Genomic DNA, 12,781 nt, shown 5'->3' with positions numbered 1-12,781 from the left:
GAGGCCTCCTTCCATTAAGATATGTTTACTGCCATAGCAGCTGTTTAGAAGAATAAATTGATCTCATTGCTTTGACATCCATCAATTAATTGTGTTGCCATACACTATTTATCATAACTAGAAGGAGATGTGCTTGAAGAAGTGTAAATTCTTAGCACATGGAAAGTGGGAATAGCTTAAGGTGAAAATAAATGCATAATAGGAATCCATGGTATCCGCAGACTTTCCTAAACTTACAGGAGAAATTTTGTGTCTATTTTCATGTTTGGGGGCAGAAGATGTGATGACGTGTTGAACATAAACTGAATCTATTGTAATCACCTATGGTCTTTTCAACAAGAATGTATATTCAAGTTTCACTTGTCCAAGCACATTTTAATGTTGGATTATGTGAAATAGAGCTAAATTTATTCTCAACTGCTAAATTGGACCACTCCATGAAGATACGATAATTTTTGATACCCTATGATACATGTAGCCTTCAATTTAAGATCTTAGATTATATATACATATTAGACTACCATAAATATTATTTTTAAATCTCCTGTATTTCTACACAGAGGAGATGGGAGAATATGTGCAACTCTAAAAATCCATTTTAGGTCTAAATTGATTATGTTATTAATAAAGAAATTCTATAATAAATATATGCTATTCATTCTAGGCATTTATCTTATATATTTTCCAAATTATTTTAGCAAAAAGTAGCTGTCTTTTGCACAGTATGCAAATGTTTCCCATTATTGTTAAGGAGCTATGAAGATAGTCTAAGTATCCTGTTCAATAGCCTTATGGCTTTTTTGCATTGAAACAAAAGCAAAAATACCATGTTTTAATAAGGGCTGCCAGTAACAAAAGCAACAACCAAAAAAAGTTTTTACCTTTGTCTTGTAAAACAAGCACAAACACAACCTCAATGAGACTACAAATGATTACATATGATTACACACATAATGTTCATAAGCTTATAAATATATGCTTATTTTCTACAGAAATAAGCATTTAAGCTACTTCTTAGAAACATACGTTATTAATGCTTTTATAAGTTAATGTATTACCTAATGTAAACTGCCTAATTCTGCTTTCAGGAATCAAATTAAATAAAAATAATTGCACTCTTTATTGTCTCTTACATGAGCCACTCTTCTTTATCTCAAACAAAATTTAATTTCATATATATTTACTAAATTTCTTTTATATTATATGGTTTTCCGGTCACATGATCATCAACAACACCAATACATGACCGTAGTAATTTTAAAAGAATCACTCTTAGTAACTCTTTCCATCTTTATGAAAGCAAATATCTGGCAAGTTTCTCAGTAAAATTACTATGCATATTCTGTATATAAGTTGGTATGTCTGAAAAAATTTTACTGTTTATACTGTCAAATGACATAAAAGTGATGAATGAACAAACCTCATCTTTCCTGAAATATCGGGACTTAATTGAGAACATAGGAAAACTTCTCCATAAGGTAATAAACCCCCGGCATTATTCCAAATACTACACCTGAAATGCATCCAGATGTGTGAAAGTGAATGGAAAAGGTTAAAGAGACTATGAACTAATTATGTTATAAGATAGCCAGATTTATAAATAAGCTCTATCAAAATGCTGCATTTTATAACACCATCCATTCCCATGAAGGATTTAATGCCAGGAATGTGATGCAAACAGCGAAAACCTGGCAGCAGTAGACAAATGTTGATGTGGTTACTATTACTGTACTTTCTAATTAGTGTTCTATTAAGTGCAAGACATTTTCATTTGTATATGAAAATAAATACTACATGTGTCGTTATTAGGCTAAAGTTTTCCTCTAGGAACCCCTAGACTTATGTGGCAGGAATAATAGTTTTTATTCACTGAGGCATACTGACAACTGATGTTAATTTTTGGTGTCATTACATTTTGTGAAAATTTAGAAATTAATTTTTCACATGGCCTATACTATAATAAACTTTATCCATCTTTTCTAATAATTTATGTTACAGTTAATCAAAGCTTCATATGGTGATATTAATATAAAAATTATAAGAAAATTTTCTTAATAATGAAACATATGAAGTGATTATAACTGAATATGTTACTTTTTTTCAATTTTCTTTTGGTTCTTTTTCCAGTAACTAAGGAAAAGAGATAAGAAATACATGTTATACAAATTCATTCCCTCTAAATCACTCATTCATTAAAAAATATAGTTGTTTTATACTTATGTGCATGGTTACAGACTTGAAAATAAACTTTAAGAATATTTCAGAAATAAACTTGTGACAGTATGATAATAACTATATCCCTTCCTATTTTTTGTTCCATGATTATCATTTTCATACTTGCGTCCTTATAAGTTGTTCTCTACATAAAATCTCCATTCAGCTAACATTTAATCACACCCTAGGGGATTCTGGGGATAAAGTCTCTTAGTTTGCATCAACTCATAAGCCACTTACTCTTCTAATCCTTAACACAATTTCTAAATCCACATAAAATACTCAGTGGTGTGTGTGTGTGTGTGTGTGTGTGTGTGTGTGTATGAGAGAAACTGGGTATGGGTAGTGGCTGAGGATTATTTTAAGCAGAAAGTTCAGAAAATTGTGCAGCTCCAATTTGTAATTTCACAGACTTTGAAACCTATTGATAAAATGCAGGTGGAAGCCCACAAAAGTAGAGTATGAAAAATACAGTAATTTAAAATAATTCTGATGGCCAAAAATTATATACAGACCTTGAAGAAGTGAAGCTTTACTAAGGCACTACAATTTAATTCATGTTAACTGAAGTAAAATCTAGCTATTATGAGTAATTTTTTAAAAAATCATTCTATGAGGCACACATACAGTTATGTGTAAATTTTGTCTTATGGTTTATTAGCTCTGACTAGGTTAGATGTTAAGATGTTTTGGTATATTAGCTCTGTCTTCCTGAGCCAGGCTATCTGGCAGAGACTAGGTAAAAAGAATAACTCAGAATGATCCTTCAGAGATTACCTCTACAAAAAAAATTAACAAACTATAGAAATTTAAGCAATACATTTCTAATTTAAAGTATGGATTAACATTTGCCACTCACTATGCTTTTTTCATATTGTTTCCTACAAAATACAAAAAGGAAATAAAACTGTCAGACATTAATTATCTGCCAGTTTTACTGGATGGTTTTTTTCATACAGAATTTGAAACTTGATTTAAAAAATGTAAGATTCATCTTAATCATTCAATTTTATGTTTGTTTATATCATTCCTGATCAGTTGGATTATCTCCTACTATGCAAATGAAGACTGAAGTGAACTCTGAGGAGAAGTATGTAACGTTAATGTATAACTTCAAACAACCTTCCCTAGAAAGAGTTTATGATATAGACTTTGGCAGCTCTGGCCCTGGAGTCACCAGACTGTAGGCTCAATTTCCTACAGTGTAAAACAGGAAGAATAATAACATCTTCCTGAGCCACATATCATCTGCTGACATTCAGCATCGTTCCTACCTTTCCATATTGCAAGGGCTGGAAGTCTGAAAACTACCTTTTCCAGACTCCCTTCCAGCGGGGTTCAAGTTTATATTCTGCCAGCAAAAAAGACTGTGATGATATCTGAATGGTAAAAGCAAAGCAGGAACCATTCTCCTCAGATCACTTGGTGCAGCACTGCAGGTGGGCAAGAGGATCAGCAGCGGTGTCTTGCAATGCCTGCCATGTCTTTATTGCTGCGCCCATTGGTGAATGTTCCTGACCTGTATTCTTAGCCAGTTTGAAGATTTTGTAAGCTGTTTCCTTGTAGCAAATACTTTCCTGCCTCAAAGTCTGAGAGTAGTTCCGATTTCTGATCAGTCTCAGACAATACACTGTCTTATAGGCTTTCTGTGAGGATTAAGTATTAATAGAATGATGGACAAAACATTCTTAAATAATATCACCATAGAACTCACCATAACACTCCATAGCAAGTGCAAATCAAAGTGTGATGAGTGCGACATGTATATAAATAGCAGAGGCACCAGAGCCAAGTTTCTAGTAAAAAACTAGTTAGAACACTTTCTGTGCCATGGCTGGAGGCAAGTTGTCTAATCTCTTTTAATGACTCGAAGACTTAATTTTTTGGTCTTCAAAATTGGAACAATAATCATAATATCCATCTTACAGAGTTGTAAGAACTAAATGTAATAATGTCTATAATGCAAGGAGATTTAAAAAGTGCTTTACATAACTGCTTGATAAATGTTATTAATATTTTATGATGTAAGGAAAGGCATTTTTAAGAGTTTCAACTATCACGTTTAGAAAAGTATGCAATGTATATTTAAATGAAATGAAACAAAGAAATAAACAAGCCAGACAGAAGTAACTTACTCATCATTTATGCTAAAATCAGCAAATGGTGCCTTTGTTCACACCAGTAGTACTTTCCATGTTTCTTATCCATACCTAATACATTTGCACTTTCTTCATTCTAGGACTAAATGTAAACTCAATCTAAACCTAAGTGTGAATAAATGCATTAGACTAATGTAGAATATAAAAACTCTTATTGTTGAATTCCCAGCCGATAAAGTAATTTTGGGGATGGGTAAGAAAGAGTGAGGGAAGTGTTCTAGAAATCCTGACCTCAGCATGTATATAGCTCTATTATTCATGATCTTAGCATATAAATAACTCTCATAAGACTCACAGTTAACTTCCGCTACACAGGTTTCATGTCTTTTTAAAAATTCTGTGGTACTCCTCTATTACTACCACTATACTAATACCATTATTACTACTACTAATTAGACTGCAATTACTGAATACTGCACAGTGTACCACGTGGGTTTTGTTTGTTTGTTTTGAAATGGAGTCTTACTGTTGTCGGCCTGGGCTGGAGTGCAATGGCGCGACCTCAGCTCACTGCAACCTCCATCTCCCGGGTTCCAGCAATTCCTCTGCCTCAGTCTCCTGAGTAGCTGAGATTACAGGCACCTGCCACCACGCCCAGCTAATTTTTGTATTTTTAGTAGAGATGGGTTTCACCATGTTGGACAGGCTGGTCTTGAACTCCTGACCTCAGGTGATCCACCTGCCTCAGCCTCCCAAAGTCCTGGGATTACAGGCGTGAGCCACTGCACCTGGCCTGTACTAGGTGTTTTACAAACATTATATTTACTCATTACAAAAACCCTGAAAGTACTTATGATTATTCCCATTTTGTGGACAGAGAAATGAAGAATCAGCTAAGGTTAGGTGACTTCCCAAAAGCTATAGCTAAATCAGATTCTGTGAAATCTATCACTTTTTCTATTACACATGTTTTCTGCCACTTTTTCTTCATTTACATTTCAAAGTTATTTCATTAGAAGGCAAAGACTGCATGTTCTGTTTCAACATTTTCAAACTTGCTCTATATTTTCCTCAAGTGATTCAATTCTCCAAATATAAAACCATCAGTATACACATAATGGACACTTTTGAAAATATAACATAGAAATGCATTTGCTTAAAATATTATTCTGTAATACATCTACAAAAGTTAAAGCAATCTATCTTGATTCTACCTATACTACTAGTACTGTAAATTATGTTTATAAATACTGCAGAGTAACTCAATGTAATATGCATGCTTTACAAATGTATAATGTGCAAGTTATAAGATAGAATTTTGCTCTCCTCGAACTTATCAATAGCATAACATTTATTCACATTTGAAGGAACATCAACCACTGATTAACTAATAGATAGGTTGATAGATAATAATGATATAGACATGGAGTAGAAATAGGTAGAGATCTATGTATATATGGACATCATATCCCACTAGGGTGCCAAAGACTAGTTCAAAATTTTTACTGCTATGTTTAATGCTGCTTTCTAGTCTGTCAAGATAAGCTGTGGCTCAGTTGTGTTCTAGCTTTCTTGAGAAATAAGCCTATTGTGCTTTCTACCCAACCATTAGGAATAACACACCATTTTTTTTTTTTTTTTAAGACAGAGTCTTGCTCTGTTGCCAGGCTGGAGTGCAGTGACGCGATCTCGGCTCACTGCAACCTCTGCCTCCCGAATTTAAGTGATTCTTCTGCCTCAGCCTCCCGAGTAGCTGGGACTACAGGCGCACAACACCGCGCCCAGTTAATTTTTGCATTTTTAGTAGAGATGGGTTTTCACATGTTGGCCAGGATGGTCTCGATCTCTCAGCCTCGTGATCTGCCCGCCTTGGCCTTCCAAAGTGCTGGGATTACAGGCATGAGCCACCTTGCCTGGCCCAATAACACATCATTTTAATCTAAATCTGAAAACATGATTCTCGCTCTTCTCACGATGTGGATCACATTTCGATAATAATGACGACTATGATTTTAAAAGGTCACAAAAACGATGATGATAAAGAATCAACAACAATCATTGTTAACAATTATTTAACACACAAAATGGTCCAAATCTTATGTTTTGTATATATTTTATCCTTTAATATCTAGAATACTCTTTTAAGTAGATATTATTCTCTTTTTTGCTCTTGTAAGAGACGCTACGAGATTAAGCACTTAAGTTCTGGATTTAACTGTGTAGACTTGAATAGTGACATTACAGCAAAGTAACTGAATCACCTGAGAAAACCTAATTACTTACTCTCTACTTCAACTTCCTTGCCTATAGAAACTGGAAAATATTCCTACCTCATAAGTTTTCTTGTAAGAAGTAAACAAAACAAATACATAAAAAGTGCTTAGAACAGTATTTGACCAACAGTAAATGTTTAAAAACATTTGTTACTATTATGCTCATTTATATGAAAATCATTGGAAAATGATAAAATTATTTCGTTTCAATATACTTGACATGGCTAAAGTCTTAGTGAGAAAAGTACAAACGTTGTCATACCTGTGTATCCAGTTTTGCAAACACAGTTGAAGCTTCCTGGAAAATTCTGGCAGATGGCACCATTCTTGCAAGGACTCTGCAGGCACTCATTGATATCTCTCTCACACGCCCTACCAGTGAAGCCATCTGGGCAGCTGCATGAAAATCCTCCCACTAAATTGTGACAGGTTCCACCACTGTGGCAAGGTGATGGAAGACATTCATCTATATCTATTTCACACCAGCTACCCGCATATCCTGGCAGACACTTGCATAAGAAAGGCTGCAGAGGTTCATTTGCCACGATGATGACTGGAAGACTCTCACGGCTTTTTAATACGGAGCTCACAGCCAATCTTCGTAGACAGCTCCCTCCATTCTGACATGGGCCATGCACACAGGAGTCATGATCCACAGATTCCACCTTTACTCCACTCTGCCGGAGAAGGATCTCTTTGATGCTTTCAAAGAAGGTGGCTACGCCACTGGGATTCACATACTGATTATGATTTCGCTTCACAGCTGCCAAAAGAAACGTTCTATTGTTCTCTTCATATGCACTGTACAGTTGCACAGCAGTCCCTAAGCCTGTCAGCTGTGAGCTGGCAATGCGTAAAAAATGAAGATAGTGGTTGGTCAAGAAGTCCTTTACTGTTGGTACGCCGAGACGAAGTAAGATGCTGTTATCCACTGTGGCATTGGAAAATCCAGCAAAGAAAACTCGGATGTTGCTCGTGACTGTGCTGTGAACTCCATCATTGCTAAGGACAGTCAGATCAAACGTGCCATCTGTGGACCTTGGCTGGGAATTCAGATCACAAGTACCCCCTGGAATACTGAAGAGGCTGGTAACTCCTGAAGTAAGGGAGCAGTGGAAGCTGTCTAACACATCTGGATCCTGTGGCTTCACAGAGCCTAAAATCCCACCGGGAAACAAGTTACCATAATAATTAACAAATATCTCCACCGTCCGAGACTGTGAAGGATTGTCATTTTGGTCTATAACTGTGATATGCACAGTTCCTGTGGAAGACATTTGAGGAACACCAGAATCCTTGGTAACCACAGACAGATAGAAGTCTGCAATCTGCTCTCTGTCAATCTCTCTGGTTGTGCTCAGAACTCCAGCAGTGCTCAGACTGAAATAACTGGTGGCAGGACCTGTGCTCAGCAAGTAATAAGTAAAGGGACCTTGATTTGGAGGGAGATCAGGGTCAGTGGACTGAAGGGTCATCACCAAAGTGCCTGGCCGTTTGTTTTCCATGACTTCTCCTTCACTGACAGTCAGCATGGGCCCGTTATCATTTATATCTTCCAGGGTGACTAATAAAGAGGCACTACCTGTAGCTGAGGGGGTCCCTGAATCAACAGCCAAAACTGAGAGATTATAGATGGGAAGGGTTTCTCGATCTAATTCTGCAGTAACGGTGATCTGTCCTGTCTGCGGATTAATAGAAAAGGCACCATTTTCATTCCCTGATCCGATGAAGTAAGAAAACCTGCTCCAGCTGGGGATGGAGTCTGAGTCAAAGGCACTGACAAAGGTCACATGAGTTCCTATTGGGACCCCTTCACTGATCTGCACACTGTAGATGTTTAGAGTAAAAATGGGTGGGTCATTTGCATCAAGCACGGTGACATTTACAGTGACCTCATCTATATCTGCACCTCTAATGCTGCCAAAGTTCTTGGCCAATACCTTCAAAGACACCCTTTCTTCTTTTTCTCGATCAAGAATTCCAGAAACATAAATCTGTCCAGTCTTCTTATTGATCTGGAAACCCTTCTTTCGACTATTACCAAAAATCAAATAGTGTACCTCCCCATCAGTGCCCAAATCACGGTCGCTAGCAAACACTTCTCCAACAATAGTACCTTTAGGAGCTGCTTCTGAGATTTCAAAATAGTAAAGTTTGGAAACAAAACGGGGCACATATTCATTTGTCCCTTTTAATTGTATATTAACAGTGGCAAAGCTACACCTTTCCTCATCGGGGACATTGAAGGCTTTCACAGTAAGATGGTAGCTCTGCTTGGTTTCAAAATCCAAGAAGCCTTGAGTGGTTATGACTCCTGTGTTAGGGTCAATGACAAAGAGGTCACTGTCAGATGACTGTACAGTATACGCAATCACAGCATTTGTTCCAGAGTCAGCATCTGTTGCATTTAGGTGGATAACTGTTGTTCCACTTGGGGCATTTTCCAAAACAGTAGGGAAATAGTCATCAGAGAGGAATACTGGAGAATTATCATTCACATCAATCACATTTACGGTCACACTGCAGTAACCAGTTCTTGCAACCCATCCTCCATCTATAGCACTAATCGTCATTTCGTGTTTCTGGCATAGCTCATAATCAAGAGCTTTGGCTAGTGTTAATATACCTGTAGAAGAATTGATTGCAAAAATGCCTTCTTCATTTCCTGAAGAAATGCTGTACTTAATCAAGCCATTCATCGCTGCATCTCTATCTCTTGCAGAAACAGTTCTGACAATGGACCCAATGCTATGGCTCTCAGGGATGGTTGCACTCATGTGGCTTTGAGAGAATTCAGGTGTATGGTAGTTTTCCTCAGTGACAGTTATGTGAACAGTTGCTTGGGAAGAAAGTGGAGGGTTTCCCTTATCCTTTGCAGTGACTGTGATAAAAAAGTTTTGGTTCAAGTCAGAAATCAGGGAGGATGCTACTGAAATCCACCCCGTATCATTGTCCAACTTAAATTTTCCTAAATGGTTATCATTAGAAATGAAATACTCCACTTCTGAATTCAGTCCAAAATCTTTGTCATCTATTGCTGTAACTCTGATTAACTTCGTACCAACCTTAACATTTTTGGTGACTGGAGTGAAATATTTACTTTTAAGAAATTGAGGTGCATTGTCATTACTGTCCACTATATTGATGGTAACTGTTGTCTCACTAATTAAGGAAGGTTTACCTCGATCTGAAGATGTCACTATAAAACTATGCCTGTTGATATTCACATTACTGAAGCCAGTGACATTTTGGTATTTTAAGATCTGTTTATTGAAAATCTCTCCAGTGGTGGCATTAATCCTGAAATATTCTGATTGGGATTTTATGAAATAAAACACTTGTCCATTTGATCCCTCATCAGGATCTGTTGCAAATACCTGAGTTACTTTGGAGCCAATCTCAGTAAGTTCAGGGCAATCTAAATAATAGGAAGTTCTGCTAAATCTTGGAGCATTGTCATTGATGTCTGTCACAAATATTGTGACATCTGTACTTACAGTCCACCCAGAATCATGTGCGGAAACTCGAATTCTGTAACGGTCTGTATCTTCCCTATTTAAAGGTCTGCTTATGACAATATCCCCTGTGCTGGGATTAATTGTAAATGGAAGACTTGCATCCATTATAGAATATCTACTAATTGCATTGATCCCAATGTCTTCATCAGAAGTTGTGACACGGGTAACTGTGTATCCTAAGGGGGAATTTTCAGGAACATGGGCACTAAATATCTGAGAAAACCTAGGGGCATTATCATTTTCATCTAAAATGTTAATCATGACTTTTACTGAAGTACTCTGAGACGGGGACCCTTTGTCTGATGATTTTATGGTTAGGACATAATGAGATACTTTTTCCCTGTCCAAAGGTCTAACGCTTCTAATTTCACCAGTAGCATGATTGATACTGAAACTATTTTCCATGTTGCCATTAACAATTTCATAATCTAACTGTCCATTGGGTCCACTGTCCTTGTCCATTGCCGAAACAGTAAGTATTTTTCGAGGGGAAAGGTTTTCCAATATTTCAGATATAAATGGGTCTTCCTTAAAAATTGGGGCATTATCATTGACATCTAATACTGTTATATCAAGTTTCTCGTAAGAGGAGAAAGGAGGGAAACCACCGTCTCTGGCCTCTATCCATACAACATATTTTTGTATCTTTTCAAAATCCAGAGGTTGACTAATAGACACCTGCCCTGTTAACTGATCAATCTGGAAAGTATTGCCAAGATTCCCACTTGCGATATAATATGACATAGGTTCTCCTCTTAAAGAGGATCCTGTGATGGTGGTGACAAGAGAGCTGACTGGTTGGTTTTCAGGAAACATGAACGTTTGTTCTTTGGCTCTCACTTTAGGGAAATCGGCCTTATTCACGAATCTAACAGTCACTGTTGTAGAATCTGTCTTTGGAAATGAGCCACCATCTTTTACATGCACAGAAAATGTCACTTCTGAAGCTCCGTTTAGTGGTCCGGCGGCCATAATGGCTCCCCTCAGTGGGTCAATGTGAAATTTTTCAGAATTTCTACCCGAAAGAGAATAATGCAGTTCAGAATTTGGTCCAATATCAGCATCTGTGACTGTAACCGCAAAGACAAAGGAACCTATAAAAGAGAAAGTGTGCAGTTATACTCACGTGGAATTTAAATAAAATATTTGGTAGCAGATAAGTGCATATAAGACACTCTATTGCTGCTTGATGTGACCTTATTTTCTCATGATTACTAGGGAGAACAGTATCTCCTATATTTTCTCCGAGGTTCACAAGTCAAATCTGCTCTATGATTGTCTTCAGAGACTAACCTGCCATTTTCTAACTAAAATTTATACAGTCTGTTGGATTTAATACTTTTCAGTATGCCTTTGAGAGAAGCCTAGGGAAAAGAACTTGCTAATCGTTCAAAAATCATAGTTTCTAGGAGAAAAATCTGCACATAAAACAACATTCCAAGAAACATAATATGCGAGCTCTGCAAAGTGCTATGCCTCTACCCAATGCAATGATACCGTTGCTCTAGTGTGTCTTAAAATATCTTCCAATCACTTTATATGTAATCTTGTCAACAAAAATCATGTTCATTACCATTTATTCCTTGTCCCCACTGTTTTATGACAAAATTCCTTTATACGTGAACTATTATCAGATGGAAAAAAAAGTGCATATGTGTATGTTTATATGTGTGTGTATATACATACACAGATATATACATAAGCCAATTAAAATAATTGTAAAGTAGTAAGAAATAAGAATTGAGGGATAATGGACTCAACTTGGACTCCAAAAGTTAGTGCTTAGACTGAGTGCCAATGAAACAGATTGTCGTAAAAATATGCAGAAAAGCTGCCATAAGGACATATTTTCAATCTACTCATTCAGAAACCATTCCCAAACCTGCACTCTCACCCCTACAGAAGAAACGGTAACAAAAGTAAAATATCTTTAATTTTAAAAAGGCCAGTGGTTATAAGTCCAATGAGGAAAAGATGCTTAAGCATACCTCATTTTACATAGGAAATTTTATCTTGCACCACCACACATTGGATGTAATTAGAACCATGCCTGCCAACATCATTTCATCTGAAGACCTTTAGCAGGTATTTATCATTTTGATACTGACATTTCCTTTGATAGAAAGTTGGCACATAAATTTATGAATCCTATATTTTAGATTGGTATCATTCTCAGATTAATAGAAGATCAAAGATCACTGAAAGGAGGATCTGTTAACTCTATCTGTTAAGTTTTTCTTCTAATAATTAAAAATATTTCCGAGCAAGGAAGATTAAATCAATAATGAGCTATATTTCTATATTTTCCTCTTTGAAAACTCATTTTAAAAATTAAAATGGCAGATTTGTGCAGTTCTTAGAGTATGCCTTTCTTAGCAAATGTCAAACTAAATTTAAAGAGATACAGAAGGATAAATGCATATTGTCAATATGAAAATGATTCATAAATGGATCCATAAACTTGCTAACAGAACAGTTTTCATTTGTAAAACCTGGAATAAAATAAATATTAACAAGAATTATCCATTTATTAAACTTTTTGAAAACATATCTATGAAAAATTGAAGTCAAATATTCATTTTCCACTGACAAACATAGTTGAATGCCTATTATCTCCCATATCATGTTTCAGGTAGTGGCATATGGCATGCAAAATAGAGACAATGCCCCTCCTCTT

At 36.3% G+C, this 12,781-nt stretch overlaps 1 protein-coding gene across 6 annotated transcripts in view; it reads right to left on the bottom strand.

The window, feature by feature from the left end:
• The window catches only part of FAT4 (FAT atypical cadherin 4), a 177,978-nt gene that overhangs the window by 33,274 nt on the left and 131,923 nt on the right, over positions 1–12,781 (bottom strand). For all 6 annotated transcript variants that reach the window (NM_001438396.1, NM_001438397.1, NM_001291303.3 and 3 more), the window contains one exon: positions 6,849–11,198. In NM_001438396.1, the coding sequence (NP_001425325.1) occupies positions 6,849–11,198 (4,350 nt within the window). The remainder of the gene's footprint in view (positions 1–6,848; positions 11,199–12,781) is intronic.

This window comes from Homo sapiens, chromosome 4, assembly GCF_000001405.40.
Source record: "Homo sapiens chromosome 4, GRCh38.p14 Primary Assembly".
Taxonomy (NCBI): Eukaryota; Metazoa; Chordata; class Mammalia; order Primates; family Hominidae; genus Homo; species Homo sapiens.
This window is presented reverse-complemented; position numbering and strand designations above follow the sequence as displayed.